At 51.5% G+C, this 18,165-nt stretch overlaps 3 pseudogenes, besides 1 other annotated feature; 1 reads left to right on the top strand and 2 right to left on the bottom strand.

The window, feature by feature from the left end:
* CICP28 (capicua transcriptional repressor pseudogene 28) lies at positions 1,412-3,726 on the bottom strand (annotated as a pseudogene).
* Positions 4,233-6,753, top strand: LOC112267979 (putative uncharacterized protein FLJ46235; annotated as a pseudogene).
* On the bottom strand, positions 4,417-5,526 carry LOC100533652 (uncharacterized; annotated as a pseudogene).
* Positions 16,370-17,569: an enhancer, noted in NCBI's record as "MED14-independent group 3 enhancer chr7:56859189-56860388 (GRCh37/hg19 assembly coordinates)". NCBI's record gives its function as "activates an origin of replication core promoter dependent on BRD2, BRD4, P300/CBP and CDK7 cofactors, and independent of MED14, by STARR-seq in HCT116 cells {active_cell/tissue: HCT116}" and the evidence as "EXISTENCE:reporter gene assay evidence [ECO:0000049][PMID:35650434]".

Raw genomic sequence — 18,165 nt, 5'->3', positions numbered from 1 at the left:
ATTTGGTGTTAAACAGGTTTAATGACAGTCATGGCAACTTTTTGGCACAATAGAAAATATCGCCCATGATCAATGTGTTCTGTTCTGGGGAAGGGGGCAAAGGCAGGGTGAATCACTTTCTTAAAAAGTACAACTCAAGTTGGGAGTGCAGAGGGAATTGGGAGAAAACCCTCCCGCTGCCTGTGTCAAAGTGCAGGAGCCCCCACCCCCATACTCACCTGAGTCCAGCCCCTCTGGAGAAAGAAGGGGTGCATGAACTCCCCCTATTCCACAGGCACCTCCCTGTGGCCCAAGGCCCTCTTCACACTCCATCTTGTAGCCCCAGCAGGAGCTATTTTCCGAAAAGTGAAAAGCTCTGAAGGTCCCACACTTCATGGTATGTACAGGGGCTCAGAGGAGGGAAACTGCCCAGCTTTCCCCCGGCACAGCTGCAGGGCTAGGGGGTATATATAAGAGGAGCAGGCCTTGGCCAGGCGTGGTGGCTCACACCTGTAATCGCAGCACTTTGGGAGGTGGAGGCCGGTGGATCACGATTTCAGGAGATCGAAATCAGCCTGGCCAAGATGGTGAAGCCCCGTCTGTACTAAAAATACAAAAATTAGCCGGACGTGGTAGCATGCACCTGTAATCCCAGCTACCCAGAAGGCTGAGGCAGGAGAATGGCGTGAACCCGGCAGTAAGAGGTTGCAGTGAGCCAAGATCTCACCACTGCACTCCAGCCTGGGTGACAGAGCAAGACTCCGTCTCAAAAGGAAAAAAAAAAAAAAAAAGCAGGCCTTATTCCTTCCCAAACTGAAAGGATTAAATGGCTTTACCCTGGAGAAGATAACCATCCTGCCCTCCATTGCTACCCCCACATAGTGTCCGTGTTCTCAGGGGGTATTGTGAGTCCTGGGATCTTCTTTGGGGTCGCCCACCTGCCTGTGGTAGTTATGGAGGGACCCAGGTGTTGAGGCAGGGCTGGGGTGTCCCCTTCCAGCCAGGCTGTCGAGGCCCCAGCTCTGGGGCAGAGGCAGTGGCAGGGCAGCCAGGGTTGCGCCAGAGCCTGAGCAGGGTGAGGTGGGGTCAGACAGGGCTGGGAGTCAGGGCAGGGGCAGCAGCAGTGGACCCACTATGCACACATCTTCTTCTCCAAGGTTTGTGTGCAGAGCATCCTGCCCATGCTGCCCCAGCAGCTTCAGTTGGCACCTGCCCCAGTCCAGCCTCTGGGACCCATGCAGCGGCTCCCAGCGGCCCTGCACCCACCACCAGCATCCGTTTCACCTGCAGTTGAAGATCCGTGAGGTGCCCAGAAGATTATGCAGTCATCAGTCCCACGGAGCAGCCCGCGAGGCTGAGGCTCCTCCCACTGGACCGCCCCCCAACTGGCACCATTGCTGCCCCTGCCCCTACTCTCAGCCTCACGTGACTCTTGGGCAGAGGCAGTGGTGGGGCAGCCAGGGCAGCGTCAGAGTCTGAGCCAGGTGAGGTGGGGACAGGACCCCCTCAGGGCTGGGAGTCAGGGCAGGGGCAGAACAAACCTTGGAGGGGAAGATGTGTGCATAGTGGGCCTGGAGAGCGGCTGTGGCCTAGTGGACAGGAAGAAGCAGTGGGCCTGGAAAAGCTGCACGATCAGGGCCGGCACTGGTCCAGGGCACGTGCAGTGAAGAGGACAGCGCCTTCTCGGTCTCCGGTTCCCTGAGCCCGTCCTTGGCTTCTCCACCTGTGCAGGCAAAGGGGAAGCTGTCCCCATCACACATGGCACACTTGGGGGTGTTGGGCTTTGGGCTGCAGATGGAGCATCTTCTCATCTTGCATTTGGGTGTGGTGGGGTCGTCCAGTGCGGGATCCATGTCCGTGGGGTTCCCTCTGCCCCAACCCCCAAAGCCCAGTTTCTCCTCTTCAGGCTCTGCCCCCTGGGTGGCTCAGCCCAGCTCCTGCCTAGGAAAGCCTTAGTGTTGGGAGGGACTGCGATGACTGAGGGGCCTGGTAGCTCCAGGTCGCCCACACTTTCAGGTCTCTTGCACCAGAAGGTGGAAGGATCCATTGGGAGGAAACAGGTCGCCTTGGAAGGCGTCCCTGGGCCCCCATCCCCAGGGGTAGGGGCCGTAGGGGGCCGGCTCTGCTGCCCTGACCAGACTCCTAGGCTTTGAAGGCTCCTGGGCCCAGTAAGAAGGAGGTGGGTGCCAAGGTTGAGGAGGAAGCATCCGAGTATGTGTAGGAGGAGGAGGGGGTGGGACCATGGACTTTGCCAAAAACTGCAGATGGATCGGGGGACCCTGGGGGCTCAGGATCCAGCAAGGGGCGGCAGGAGTAAAGGAGGAAGGAATGACAGGTGCAAATACCTTCCCACCAAAGCCCTTGTTGCCCTCTGTCTCCTCCCCAGAGCTGTCACCACTCTCAGTCGGTCACCCACTCCTTGAACTTGAGATCAGTGTCAGTGGTGCTAAAGCCATCATCAGCAATGACATTGTCACCCCCTCCTCCTCATGGATGACCATGTGCTCCTCATCACTCACTATGTCATCACTGGCCATGTGCTGGGAATGAGAAGCTCAGGTGGGCAGCAGCAGGGCTGCCCACTGGTCACCTCCCTCACCAGGGGCTGCAAAGTGGCCTGGAGCTCCATACTGAGTAGAAGGCTTTGGGCCAGAGTATGATGCAGTGCCAGACACCACTTCTGTCAGTTCCTGTAGTGCCTGACGGTCTATTTCCCTGCCGTCAAGGCTGTGTACACCCCTGTGGGAGAAGGCTTGGGCCAGGCTGAGCCAGGTTCCCTGTATGCAGCCGTTCTGCCCCACAGAAGCTGCTCCTTGGTATCCGAGCTCTGGAGTGTCTGGGCTGCAACTGACAGGAGTTCAGAGGACACCCCAGGGGCAGTGGCAGTGCTCATCTCTGATATACTCTGCTCCCACGAGCCCTTGTATACTCCTGCTAGCCCCTGGTTTGTGGGCTTAGCCTCTGAGCTGGACTTCTTTTGGTCCCTGTTGCAAGTGGGCCACCTTCACCTGGAAGGCCAGGTCATGGTACTTCTGCGTCTCATTGGGCCCCAGGGTGTACCACCGCTCGCTCAGGATCTGGCTGACGGTCCGGTTGTCCTGGTTGGGGTGACCCTGGTGCGCCCTGCCAGGGCCTGGTGCCGCTTGCTGAAGATCATGACCGCCACTCATGGGCCACCGGATGTGGTCCTTGTCCCATTTGTTGGGGCTGCATCCATCCTTCTCAGAAGATGAGTCCTGTTCCTTGTGCAGGGCACTGAGGGACTGGGCCTGACATCATCTGAGTGGTAGAGGCAACTGGGTGTCAGGAGACATGACGGAGAGGAAAGCATCATCGTGGTCATTCTCTGTCTCACTGTCCAGCAGGGACTCCCCTGAGGGGCCCAGGGCTCCTCCTCCATGGTGGGAGGTGGGCCCTTACCAGGTTCCACCACCCCCAAAGTGTGTGGGGTTCTGGGCCCTGGGCTTTCAGGGCAGGTGGCTCCAGGGGGCCACCCAGGGTCAACACTCCCTGTCCCACCTGGTGGATGCTCATGAGCAACAGCTGCCAACTTGGCAGGTTGTTTGCTCTGGTTGGAGGCCACTGAGTGACTGGCAGGTTGCTGGGCCTCGTGTGGCTCCAGGGAGGGGTCAGGAAGGGGACGGAGTACCAGGGGAACACGGCCACAGAGTGAGGTTCCACATTCCTCCACACGAACACGCTGACGCCACGGGAGGCCTCGCTGGACACAGTCCTGTGGGCCGAGTACTTGGTCCGGGCAGGGGGTTCCTGGCAGGGGCTCACACGTCCTCAGCCCCCTCCTCAGCCAAGGTGTCTTGGGCCCAGAGAAGGGGGTTTGGAGAGGAGCAGAAGGCCAGGCCTCAAGTTTTGTTTTTTGTTTTTGAAATGTAGTTTGACTCTTGTCACCCAGGTTGGAGTGCAATGGCACAATCTCAGTGGCCTTCATACCTGGCTAATTTTTTGTATTTTTATTAGAGGTGGGGTTTCACCATGTTGGCCAGGCTGGTCTTGACCTCCTGACCTCAGGTGATCCACCCACCTCAGCCTCCCAAAATGGGATTACAGGCATGAGCCACCGCTCCCAACTTCATTCATTTTTACTTGAAAAACTCCCTTAAGCATTTTTTTAAGGTAGACCTAGTGGTCCTGGTGGCCGCCGTGACGCATGAGCTTGGCCTCCGGAGGGCCTCCGCGAGGCACCAGCTGGGTGTGTGGAGGCAGCCCCGAGGTGGGGAGCCTGGCCCGAGGACGCCATGGCGAGGCAAGAGGTGGGCCTGGAGGGCCCACTGTTGAGGTAGAGGCTGGGCGTCTAGAGGCCGCCAACAGGCAGGGGCTGGACCTGGAGAGGCCAACAGAGGCATGAGCTGGGCCTCAACAGACCAGCGTGAGGGAGGACCTCTCTCAGCATGAGAGAGGCCAGTGTGAGGCAGGGGCTCACGCCTCTGGACAGGGTGCCAGAGACACGAGTTGGGCCTAAACAGGCCACCGTGAGGGAGGAGCTGGGCCGCTCGCGGGCTGCCGGGAGGCAGGCAGGGACTTGGCCCCAGGAGGCCACCGTGGGGCGAGAGCTGGGCCTGGAGAGGCCCCTGGGAGGCAAGAGCGGGGCCTGCAGAGGCTGTTCTCCTGCCAGAGCTGGGCCCGTACAGGCCACCGGGAGGCAGGAGGTAGGCCTGAAGAGCTTGGCTGGAGAAAGTTTGGGGCCTCCAAAGGCCAGCGGGAGCTGGGCAGGAGCTGAGCCAAAACAGATTGCTTGCTGGGAGGCAGGAGCTGGGCCGGGAGACGCAGCCAGGAGGAACAGCTGGGCCTGGAGAGGCCGCCAGGCGGGAGGCAGAGGCTGGGCCTCTAGAGGCCGATGGGAGGCAGGAGCTGGCCCTGGAGGGGCCCTCATTGAGGACGCGTTGCACCTGGAGAGGCCACCGGGAGGCCGGAGCTGGGCCTGGAGAGGCCGACTTCAGGACGACTTGGGTCTGCAGAGGCCGCTGGGAGGCCCAAGCTGGGCCTGGAGGAGCCCACCGACCGGAGGCCATTTGGGGCCTGGAGATGCCATCGGAGGGCAGGAGCTGAGCCTGGAGAGGCTACCGTGAGGCCTGAGCTGGGCCTGGGGAGCTTGGCTTGAGGAAGCTGTGGGCCTACCAAGGCCTCCAGGAGCTGGGCAGGAACTGAATCCAAAGAGGTTGTTGGGAGGCAGCAGTCGGGTCTGGAGACGCAGCTGGGAGGAACAGCTGGGCCCGGAGAGGCTGAATGGAGTAAATTCAGGGCCTGGAGAGGATGGGGCCCCACTCCTCTGACTGTGGCAGAGGAGCCTCTGCCTCCCTCCTGGCTGCCTCTCCAGGCCCAACTCTTCCTCCTGGCTATGTCTCCAGGCCCAAATCCTGCCTCACAACCAACGACCTCTTTTGGCTCAGCTCCTTCCAGCCTTTGTAGGGCCAAAACTTTCTCCAGTCAAGCTCTTTAGGCCCACCTCCTGCCTCGCGGTGGCCTGCACAGACCCAGCTCTGGCTTGAGAAGAGCCGCTGCAGGCCCCACTCCTGCCTCCCAGGGGACTGTCCAGGCCCAGCTCTTGCCTCACGGCGCCTTCCCAGGGCCCAGTTCCTGCCTGCCTCCCAGCAGCCCTGACAGGCTGAGCTCCTCCCTCATGGTGGCCTCTTTAGGTCCAACTCATGCTTCTTGCATCCCGCCCTGGTGTCAGCTCATGCCTCACACTGGCCTCTCTAGGCTGAGGTCCTCCCTTACGCTGGCCTGTTGAGGCCCAGATCATGCCTCTCGTGGCCTCTGCAGGCCCAGCTCCTGCCTGTCGGTGGCCTCTACAGGCCCGGCCTCTACCTCATGGTGGGCACCTCCAGGCCCAGCTCCTGCCCAGCTCCTGGCGGCCTTTGTAGGCCAAAAACTTCAAGCAAAGCTCTCGAGGCCCAGCTCGGGCCTCACTGTGGCCTCTCCAGGCTCGGCTCCTGCCCTCTGGTGGCATCTCCAGGCCCCAGACTTTCTCCAGTTAGCTTCTCGAGGCCCAGCTTGGGACTCCCGGCAGCCTCTGCAGGCTCAAATCGTCCTGAAGTCCTCTCCATTTCCAGCTCCGGCCTCCCCACGGCCTCTCCAGGTGCAGCACATCCTCCAAGTGGCCCCTTCAGGGCCATCTCCTGCCTCCTATTGGTCTCTACAGGCCCAGCCTCTGCCTCCCTCATGGCTGCCTCTCCAGGCCCAGCTCTTCCTCTCAGGTCCATCTACAGGCCCAACTCCTGCCTCACAACACACCTCTTTTGACTCAGCTCCTGTCCAGCTGTCCTAAGCCTTTGTAGGCCCAAAACTTTCTCCCGCCAAGCTATTTAGGCCCACCTTCTGCCTCGCAGTGGCCTGTACAGACCCAGCTGTGGCTTGAGAACAGCCTCTGCAGGCCCTGCTCTTGCCTCTGAGGGGCCTCTCCAGCTCCAGCTCTCACCTCACTGTGGCTTCCCAGGACCTAGTTCCTGCCTGCCTCCCGGCAGCCTCGACAGGCCCAGCTCCTCCCTCAGAGTGGCCTGTTCAGGCCCAACTTATGCCTCTGGCCACCTTCCCAGAGGTGTGAGCTCCTGCCTCACGCTGGCCTCTGTAGGCCGAGGTCCTCCCTTATGCTGGCCTGTCGAGGCCCAGCTCATGCCTCTCCTGGCCTCTCCAGGGCCAGCCCCTGCCTGTTGGTGGCGTCTAGAGGCCCAGCCTCTACCTCGCAGTGGGCCCTCCTGGCCCACCTCCTTCCTCACCGTGGCCTACTCAGGGCAAGCCTCCTGCCTTTCGGCAGCCTCTGCAGACCCAGCTCCTGCCTCCCAGTGGCCTCCATACACCAAGCTCATGCCTCACAGCAGCCTTTCCAGGCCTAGCGTTTGCTCCTTTGCATCCTCTCCAGGTCCTGAACTTCCTCTAGTCGGCATCTCCAGGCCCAGCTTTTCCTTCCAGCAGCCCCTGCAGGCACAAGTCATCCTCAAGTCGCCCACCCCGGGCCCAGCTCTTGCCTCTTGGCGGCCGCTCCAGGTGCACAACTTCATCAAGTCGGCCTCTCCAAGCTCAGCTTCTCCTGCCTCCCAATGGCCTCTTTAGGCCTAGCCCAGCTCATGCCTCTCGGCAGCCTTCCCAGGCCCAGCTTTTGACTTTTGTCTGCCTCTTCACGCCCAGAACTGGACTTCCTGTCGGCCTCTCCTGGCCCAGCCTCTTGCATCCTGAAGGCCCGTACAGACCCTGCCTCTGCCTCACAGCTGACTCTCCACACTGAGCTCTTGCCTCACTGTGACCTTCCCAGTCCAAATTCTTGCATTTCAGCAAGTTCGACAGGACCAGCTCCTGCCTTCAAATGGCCTCTTTAGGCTTACCTCATTCCTCTCAACAGCCACTCGAGGTCGAGTTTTTTCATTTTTGCAGCTTCTGTAGGCCCAGAACTTTCTCAAGTCTGCCTCTCCAGGTCCAGTTGCTGTCTCCAGGCATCCACTTCTTCCCCTTTTCTTCCTACATTTTGTGTCTAAAGGTTCAGCTTTTGCCTCACAACATCCTCTTTGGATTAGCTCCTGTGCAGCTCCTTGCCTTTGTAGACTCAAATCTTTCTCAAGTTGAGTCCTCCGGTTTCACTGCCTTCCTGGTGGCTCCCTGAACAGGCCCAGCTTTTGCCTGACAATTGCTTCTCCAGGCTGCCTCAACAGACCCAGCTCTTGCCTCACACTGGCCTCTCTAAGCCCAGCTGCTGCCTCTCACTGTCCTCACCTGGCTTATCTCTTTCCTCACATCTGCCTCCCAAGTCCCAGCTCCTGTCTCACAGTTGTCTCAGTTATACCAGCTCCTTTCTCATGATGGCCTCTTCTGGCCCATCTTCGGCCTCATAGTGGCCAGTCGAACCCATGATGGCCTCTTCTGGCCCATCTTTGGCCTCATAGTGGCCACTGGAACCCATCATCTGCCTCATCATGGCCTCTTCTGGCTTTGCTTTTGCTTCGCAGTCACCTTTTCCAGATCCCACTTTTTAGTCTTTAATGGTCAACAGCATCAAGGAGCCTAAAGCTTCCCTGGACTCTTATTTGTTGGTAACTTCACTGCACAGCAGAGTGCCTTAGCAAAACACCTGTCTCTTCTTTTAACCTTGACAGTGGATTTCTGACAAATTTATAATAAATTCTGCCTGTGTGGTTTCATAGTGATGTTTGTTTTATTTAGTGTCTCATAGTTTTTCTTGTCTTCTTTGGGTGGGAGTCAGAATGAGCCTCTGCTTGGGCCCTTTTTCTTTGCTCTGGACATGGTAGCTTCTCACTTCATGTTTTCTATATTTATATTTTTTTACAGTTATCTTTTTTTGTTTTGTTAGGGTCTTGCTCTGTCACCCAGGCTGGAGTGTAGTCGTGTGATCATGGCTCACTGCAGCCTTGGCCATTTGGCCTGAAGTGATTCTCCCAACTCAGCCTCTTGAGTAGCTGATGCTACAGGCACATGCCACAATGCCTGGCTAATTTCTAATTTTTTCTGAGAAGTTGGTTCTCACTTTGTTGCCCAGGCTGTTCCCAGACTTTCGGACACAAGCAATCATTTTGCCTGAGCCTCCCAAAGTGCTGTGATCACAAGCATGAGCCACCATGCCTGGCCTGCTATTTGCTTGTCATGAACTATTAAGAATTTACTTTTTCATTAATATACTATTTCTATATAGATTTATGTATATATAGATATTTTACATTTTTCATGGATACCAATTTTTTCCCTTTTTTTGAGGCAAGGTATGACTTTGTCATTAAGGATGGAGTGCAGTGGTATGACCCTGGCTCACTGCAACATCTTCTTTCTTGGCTTAAGTGATCCTCCCATCTCAGCCTCCTGAGTAACTTTGACCCCAGGTACAAGCCGCCATGCCCAGGTAATTTTTATATTTCTTGTAGAGAGGGGGTCTCACCATGTTTCCAAGGCTGGTTTCAAACTCCAAGTCTCAAGTGATCCTTCCCCCTCAGCCTCTTGCAGTGCTGGGATTACAGGTGGGAGCCACCACACCTGGCCTGCCATTTTCTTTTCATGTATCATTAAGAATTTACTTTATGCCAGCACGGTGACTCATGCCTGTAATCCCAGCACTTTAGGAGGATGAGGTGGGTGGATTACGAGGTCAGGAGTTCAAGACCAGCCTGGCCAAGATGGTGAAACCCCGTCTCTACCAAAAATACGAAAATTAGCCTAGTGTGCTGGCATGTGCCTGTAGTCCTAGCTACTCCAGAGGGTGAGGCAGGAGAATTGCTTGAACATGGGAGGCAGAGGTGGCAGTGAGCTGAGATCATGCCACTGTACTCCAGCCTGGGTGACAGAGTGAGACTCTATCTCAAAAGAAAAAAAAAGAATTTATTTTTTTATTAGTATAATGTAAATACATAAATGTGTGTATATATTCATATGTGAATATATGTGTGTATGTATCTTCACAGCATACACACACACACATACACACACACATACATTGTGAAAGATATATTTGAATACCTAGAAATTGATAAGCTTCTTCCAGGTTTTGAAACCACCCTTAGCACAAACACGAAAGAAGTACAAACTATCATTATTAATGACCATGGACCAAGATGACCATGAGTCAATAGTACTTTGTACCTCAACCACCTTCCAGCAGAGCATCTCAAAGGGCTGGATATATCTGAACATCACATGCTTTCACACAGACTAGGATGGTTTGTAATTATTACTTCTATTAAAAACTCAGTGTGATCCTTGTCAGGGTGAAATCAAACTATTTCTCAAATCATAGAGATACTGAATAACAGCTTTGGTCAGGAAATAGGTATTGCATTTGGTTTGTCATGACAAGCTCCTGGCCTAGGCAGATGGAATATAGCAGAAATGTGTGTGTGTGTGAACACTCTTGCGCACAGATGTGGGGGTGGAAGTGGGGGGATTGAATTTGATAAAACCAGCAGGGGGCAGGCTGCTGGAAAGGGGGAAATTGTTTTGGCAGCAGCTGTGTATCTCTAGAACCAGGAAATGCTTGTAATCCATATTTTTGTCTCCTGGAAAATAAAGATTATAAGGGCCAGGCGCGGTGGCGCATGCCTGTAATCCTAGCACTTTGGGAGGCCGAGGCAGGTGGATCATGAGTTCAGGAGATCGAGACTATCCTGGCTAACATGGTGAAACCCAGTCTCTATTAAAAATACAAAAATTGGCCGGGCGCGGTGGCTCACGCCTGTAATCCCGGCACTTTGGGAGGCAGAGGCGGGCGGATCACGAGGTCAGGAGATCGAGACTATCCTGGCTAACACGGTGAAACCCCGTTTCTACTAAACATACAAAAAATTAGCCAGGCGTGGTGGCGGGTGCCTTTAGTCCCAGCTACTCGGGAGGCTGAGGCAGGAGAGTGGCGTGAACCTGGGAGGCAGAGCTTGCAGTGAGCCAAGATTGCACCACTGCACTCCAGCCTGGGCGATGGAGCGAGACTCTGCCTCAAAAAAAAAAAAAAAAAAAAAAATTAGCCGGGCTTGGTGTCGGGCACCTGTAGTCCCAGCTACTCAGGAGGCTCAGACAGGAGAATAGCCTGAACCCGGGAGGTGAAGGTTGCAGTGAGCCGAGATCACGCCACTGCACTCCAGCCTGGGTGACAGAGCGAGACTCCATCTCAAAAATAAAACAGAATAAAAAAATAAATAAAGATTATAATTCCTGCCTTGATATGTGGACTATGTGATCCGCTATATGCAAAATATCTAGTATATAATAGGTGCTGAATTAATACTACTTTCTGTACCTCATTCTTAATCATTGCTTAATTTTAAAAAGTTTAGAGTGACTACTGCTTTTGTAAAAAATATTTTTAATTATTATATAAAATCTAAGTCCTGTAGAAAAGTACAAAGCAGGCCGTGTGCTATAGCTCACACCTGTAATCCCAGCACTTTGGGAAGGCAGGGTAGAAGGATTGCTCAAGGCCAGGAGTATGAGACCAGCATGAGGAACATAGCAAGATCCCATCTCTATAAAAAATTAAAAACCAGTTATAGTAATGTACACCTGTAGTCCCAGCTACTTGGGAGGCTGAGGCAGGTGGGTCACTAGAATCCAGGGGTTTGAGATCGCAACCTGGGTAACAGAGTGAGACCCTGTCAGAGAGGGAGAGCGAGAGAGAGAAGAGAAAGCAAAACAAGAAAAGTACAAAGAAGCAAGTAATAAATCATGAAATTTTCAACCACCAAAAAATAACTTAACATTATGTGATATGACCAGGCCTGGTAGCTCATGCCTGGCTGAGGCACGAGAATCGCTTAAGTCTCGGAGGCAGAGGTTGCAGTGAGCCAAGATTACACCATTCCACTCCAGCCTGGGCAACAGAGAGAGAGAGACTCTGTGTCGAAAAAAAAAAAAAAGTGATAATTCACACCTCTTTTTGTGCAAATAGGTAGTTAAGTAAGTAGATGTATTAATGGATTAAAAATAACTTTGCCTGGTGCAGTGGCTCACACCTGTAATCCCAGCACTTTCGGACGCTGAATTGGGCAGATCACGAGGTCAGGAGATCGAGACAATCCTGGCCAACATGTTGAAACCCTGTTTCTACTAAAAATAGAAAAATTAGCTGGGCATGGTGGCGGGTGCCTGTAATCCCGGCTACTTGGAAGGGTGAGGCAGGAGAATCACTTGAACCTGGGAGGCGTAGGTTGCAGTGAGCCAAAATTGCACCACTGCACTCCAGCCTGGCAACAGAGAGACACTGTCTCAAAAAAAAAAAGAAACTTTACATATTTTATATGTGTTTTAGTTCAAATATATATAATATTTATTTTGCTTGATACAACAGAAGCTGAAGAAACTAAGGTGGGAGAATTTCTGAACTTCAGATAAAAGTCTACGTGAAGGTCATATCTTTTTATTCAACATTCATTAAAATTATGAAAAAAGATACAAAAGTATCATGATTCTTTTTAACCTGCAGTTTCTATTTTCACCCACAGCTGCTGTATTTTTGGAATTGATGCATGTTTGAGAGTTTCTGTTTAATGCGTTTATACTTGAATAACTATTCTATTATTATTATTATTATTAGTTGAGACAGAGTCTTGCTCTGTCACCCAGGCTGGAGTGCAGTGGTGCTCACTGCAACTTCTGCCTCCCGGGTTCAAGTGATTCTCCTGCCTCAGCCTCCTGAATAGCTGGGATTATAGATGCACGCTACTATGCCCAGCTGATTTTTGTATTTTTAGTAGAGACAGAATTTCACCATTTTGGCCAGGCTGGTCTCGAACTCCTGACCTCAAGTGATCCACCCTCCTTGGCCTCCCAAAGTGCTGGGATTACAGGCGTGAGCCACCACAACTGGCCTGGGAGAATATTCTTGATTCATTTTCCTTTTCTTTGTTCTTCCTTTAAGTTCTGACTTTATTGTCATCTAGCTCTAGCTGGGGTTATGGGAAGCTCTGAGGCTGGCTGGAGGTTCTTCTCACATGTACTTATGTTTTCCTGCCCAAAGGCCAGTGGAGTACTTTCTTTATCATTGAAGCTCTGTAGCTTAGCCAGGGTTGGCTCGAGGCCAGTCATTCCTTACTAGATTTTCCAGACCTCAGCTCACACATCACCTTGGCAGAGAAATCCTCCCTCATCCTGTGGAGAGGGAGGATTCATTGCCTCATTCTGCCTGGTTCTCTCAAAGCAGATATCACACTCAAAAATCAGCTTGCTATTTATTGAATTGCTTGCCTACATATCCTCCTCCCAAACTCACACCAAATCAGAACAAAGGCTCCCTGCAGCAGGAGTCCCATCTTAGTCATTCTCAGAACCTAATATATACTTGGCACATAGTAGGCGCACACTAAATGTCATTAGAATGAATAAGTATCAAGGGCCCGGGTGCAGTGGCTCATGCCTGTAATCCCAGGACATTGGGAGGCCGAGGCAGGTGGATCACCTTTAGGTTAGGAGTTCCAGACCAGACTGGCCAACATGGTAAAACCTCGTCTCTGCTAAAAATACACAAATTACCTGGGCATGCTTGTACACACCTGTAATCCCAGCTACACGGGAGCCTGAGGCAGGAGAACCACTTGAATCTGGGAGGTGGAGGTTGTAGTGAGCCAAGATTGTGCCATCACACTCCAGCCTGGGTGACGGAGTGAGACTGCATCTCAAAAAATAAATAAAAAGAACAAAAAAAGAATGAATAAGTATCAAGGAAGGGAGATTTTGTGATTTGCCACCTTTACATGGAAATCCTGCTTAACATTGACATTTTCTATTTGATGGTATTTGTATAATAAGAAACTGAAACTGAGCTAATTAAAAGAGAATGAGGCTGGGCACAGTGATTCATGCCTCTAATCCCAGCACTTTGGGAGGCTGAAGGGAGAGGATCATTTGAGAGTAACATTTTGAGACCAGCCTGGGCAACATACAGAGATCCCTGTCTCTGCAAAAATAACATTTAAAAAAATGAACCAGGTGTGCCAGGTGCAGGGCTCATGCCTGTAATCTCAGCACTTTGGGAGGTTAAGGCAGGTGGATCACCTGAAGTCAGGAGTTCAAGACCAGTCTGGCCAACATGGTGAAACCCCATCCCTACTAAAAATACAAAAATTAGCCAGTGTGGTGGCGAATGCCTGTAGTCCCAGCTACTTGGGAGGCTGAGACAGGAGAATTGCTTGAACCTGGGAGGCAGATTTGTAGTGAGCTGAGATCAGGCCATTACACTCCAGCCTGGGTAGCAAGAGTAAACTTCATCAGATGTGGTGGCACATGCCTGTAGTCCTAGCTCCTCGGGAGGCTGAGGGGAGAGAATCTCTTGAGCCTAGGAGATAGAGGCTGCAATGAGCCATGATTGAACCACTGCACTCCAGCTTGAGAGTCAGAGCTAGACCTAATAGCTAAAAACAAAACAAAAAAACCGGGCGCAGTGGCTCATGCCTGTAATTCCAGGACTTTGGGAGGCCTAGGCGGGTGGATCACCTGAGGTCAGGAGTTCAAGTCCAGGTTGGCCAACATGATGAAACACCGTCTCTACTAAAAAATACAAAAATTAGCCGGGCATGGTGGCAGGTGCCTGTAATCCCAGCTAATCAGGAGGCTGAGGCACAAGAATTGCTTGAACCCGGGAGGTGGAGGTTACAGTGAGCAGAGATCACGCCACTGCACTCCATCCTGGGTGACAGAGCAAGACTCAAAGAAAACAAAGCAAAACAAAACAAAAACACTAAAAAGAACATTCCAGCTGCTTGTTAAGAGACTGGACATAGATGGACAATAAAGGGAGCAGGACACCTGGTGAGGAGCTGCCACGTCAACATCTTTTGATTACTCCAGGCCACATTTTGAGCAGGGCCTCTGCTAGAATGTGGCCCAGCTTCACATGCCTCAATTCTGACACTCAGTGCTGGTAGAGGCCCTGTGATGTCACACTGTGGAGGCTTCTTGGGAAAGTGTTGGCTCTTCAAAATCAACATCTTGGTTCATTCCTTTGATGCTGGAGACAATGACTTGTCTCTCCTCATATGTCTGATCAAGACAGTTAAAAACACAGTGGAATGTCTCTTTGTCCAGGAGCTTGGGCTGCTCTGGAGTTTGCACAAACACAAATAACCATCACATGCTGTCAGGCCATGTGTCTTGGTTATGACCGTTCAGCAGTGGACGTCTACGTAGTGGAATATCCCAAACATCTCTTTAAAAAAAAAAAAAGAGAGAGACAGAGAGAGACAGGGTCTCACTATGTTGCCCAGGCTGGTCTCGAACTCCTGGCCTCAAGAGATCCTCCTGCCTCAGCCTCCCCAAGTGCTGGGATTACAGGTGTGAGCCACTGAGCCTGGCCCTTTGTTGTTGTTTTTAGACAGGGTCTTGCTTTGTCATGCAGGCTGGAGTGCAGTGGCATGATTACAGCTCACTGCAGCTTCAAATTCCTGGGCTCAAGTGATCCTCCTCCCTCAGCCTCCTGAGAAGCTGGGACCACAGGCATGCACCACCAACCACATCTAGCTAAGTAAAAAAAAATTTTTTTTTCTACAGACAAGGTCTCGCTATATTGACCAGGCTGGTATTGAACTCCTGATCTAAAGCCATCTTCCTACCTCCATCTCCCTCCCACCTTGAACACCTCTTTTCCCAGGTTTGAAAATAAAATCTACTCTTTGAGAAGGCGAAAGAAATGAGTAAGACAGAAAACCAAGAAGCCAACCAGGCTTGCCTGGATAAACACTACATCCCTTAAATTGGTTTTCCTTCAATGATACAGTGATTAAGGGTTGTTTTTTTTTTTAAGTTCCTACTTGGCATGTGAATAGTTTCTTCCTCAGTAAATTTGAATCTCAAGTGTCTATTCTGTGATTGAATGAAGCAAATCTTTTACACATGGGAAACCATTATTAAATGATTTTGTTATAGAAAGGGGTGGATGGGGGCTGGGCATGGTGGCTCACGCCTGTAATCCTAGCACTTTGGGAGGCTGAGGTGGGTGGATCACCTGAGGTCAGGGGTTCAAAACCAGCCTGGCCAACATGGTGAAACCCCATCTCTACTAAAAATACAAAATTAGCCGGGTGTGCTGGTGCATGCCTGTAATCCCAGCTACTTGGGAAGCTGAGACAGGAGAATTGCTTGCACCTGGGAGGCAGAGGTTGCAGTGAGCTGAGATTGCGCCATTGCACTCCAGCGTGGGTAACAGGAGTGAAACTCCATCTCAAAAAAAAAAAAAAAGGGTGGATGGGATGGGGGCAAGACAGGGGCGGATGTCACTGTGTCTCTGTCCCTGTGCTCCCCACCCACCTTCTCTGTCCTTGCTCCCATGATGCCTGTCAAGGGGCACAGTGTGCTGAAGGAGGGGTTACCAGGTGGCATATCCAGAAGGCATAATACTCGGCTTCATGGAGTCCACTTACTTTGATCTAATTTGTTTACTCATAAAGTTCATTAAACATTCACATCAACAGCTTCTGAATATCTAAGCCAATTAAACATGGCGATGTTACTCGATTCTTAAAACAAGCTGGAGACCGGGCACAGTGGCTCACACCTGTAATCCTAACACTTTGGGAGGCTGAGGCAGGTGGATCACCTGAGGTCAGGAGTTCGAGACCAACCTGGCCAACATGGTGAAACCCCTGTCTTTACTAAAAAAAATACAAAAAAATTAGCCAGGCATGGTGGTCGGCACCTGTAATCCCAGCTGCTTGGGAGGCTGAGGCAGGAGAATGGCAGGAACCCTGGAGTCGGAGGTTGCAGTGAGCCAAGATCGCACCACCGCACTCCAGCCTGGGCAATAGAGCAAGACTCCATCTCAGAAAATAACAAAACAGAAACAAAATAAGCTGGTGAAGGGTTTGTTTTAGATTCATTTTGGAAATGTGAAGACACGGAGTGAGAGGGAGTGAGTTGTCCAAATTCAGGCAGCAAGCTAAAGACCATGTGGTCCCTGGCCCTTTGCAGCCAGAGTGTGTGGGCCAACTGTGTGGTGGTATGCACTCCCCCTCCATCTGCCGGCACTACCATATGCCGTATCTGGCCTTGTCACCTGGTGACCTGGAAGTCTTTGGTTTTCCCTGACCTTTGCCACCAGATCTGCTTACTTGCAAGTCCTGTTGGTTGTAACCTTCCCAGCCTTTCCCCGTCTTCCTCCTTTTTATCTTGTTTCATTGTTTTGTTTTCATTGTTTCAACCCAGCTATAATCATATCTGGCCAAGATTCCTCCAATAGTTCCTAGTTGGAGTCCTCCAAACTCTCTTTTTTAAACAAAGATGACTGAACAGGTAGCTCATGTCTGTAATCCAAGCACTTTGGGAGGCTGAGGCAGGAGGATCACTTGAGGCCAAGAGTTCAAGACCAGCGGGCAACAGAATGAGACCTCATCTCTACAAAAAAAATTTAAAATTAGCTGGGTGAAGGAAATAATGTATACAGTGGTCCATTTCCAAGACAAAGTGGCTTAAATCAGGTTAGGCCAGCAAACTACAAAAGAAACAGTACATACTAGGTTTCTGCTTGGACACTCAATGCCTGCTTGTCACCACCCCCACCTTTTTCGTTGCCCCCACCTGAACCAAAGAAGTTTAGTCTAAGATGAAACTTTACTAGCCCACAAAATAGCTGGTTTTGTCTGTTCTTATCAGCCTGCCTAGCTACTTGGGTCATAAGTCAAATACTTGAAGAGGCTCTAAGCTAACTAGGATTGCAATGCATTGTGGGCTGCAACAAAATGCAGCAGGACAACTGTAGGAAGTAGAAAAGTTCCTCTTCAAAGCTCATCTTGGTTTAAACATAAAATAATAGACACCAGGAATAATAGCTCCTTACTCTAAAGCCTCCTATCAACTATTAGTTCTTACACTTTAGCCCATTGAGTTGCTTGGCTTACTCAGGCATGTCTGGACAGGCCCAGGCAAGTCTTAGCTCATAGTTTATTTCCCTTCCTTATTTGGAAATGTTATTACTTCCTTAAGCCTTTCATAAGCAACTTCCTCTCTTTCTTTGTTCTTCCCTGCACTTACCTATTTAGGGAAGTTTTAGGCTATTAGCAAATCGGGTATCAGTTTAAGATTGTGAGGTTCAACTCCAGCCAGCGGATGCAGGACAAAGCAGTAAGGACGACCCAAATGCATAAGGGTAAATAGATCTGCTTTTCCTTTGCTCAGGTGTGCTCTTGCCATTGTTCCATCTGTGATTGAGCACCCTTTCCGCAGAAAGTAAAGATTGCCTTGCTGAGAGATCTTTTGTCTTCATGCTGACTTTACTTCATGGCACCAATTATATATTTCTAACAATTCTGGTATTTCTAACAACCCTAAAGAAAACACCTACAGCCCCTACCCAACAACCAATAGGCAACATCCAGGAAGATTGTGACCCCATAGTACTCAGCCTATGAGGAACCAGGGGAGGTACCTGCAGACGAAGGGATACATTGCTTGTTGAAACTGTGCTATGTGTGCCTGGTGCCAGACACCCGATCCTGCAAGACCATCATTAAAAGTCTCACTTTCTCTGTGCTCTGTCTGAGTCCATTCTTTGGGTTTGGACGGGTGCATTTGTTTCTCACACTGGGTGTGGTGGTGCATGCGTGTAATCTCAGCTACTCAGGAGGCTGAGGCAGGCAGATGGCTGGAGCCCAGGAATCTGAGGCAGCAGTGAGCTATGATCGTGCTGTGGTGTGATCTCTGCTCACTGCAACCTCCGCCTCTCAGGCTCAAGTGATACTCCTGCCTCAGCCTCATGAGTAGCTG

The sequence above is a fragment of the Homo sapiens genome, chromosome 7 (assembly GCF_000001405.40).
Source record: "Homo sapiens chromosome 7, GRCh38.p14 Primary Assembly".
NCBI lineage: Eukaryota > Metazoa > Chordata > Mammalia > Primates > Hominidae > Homo > Homo sapiens.
Note: the sequence above shows the minus strand (reverse complement) of the source record. Positions and strands in the feature narration are given on the sequence as shown.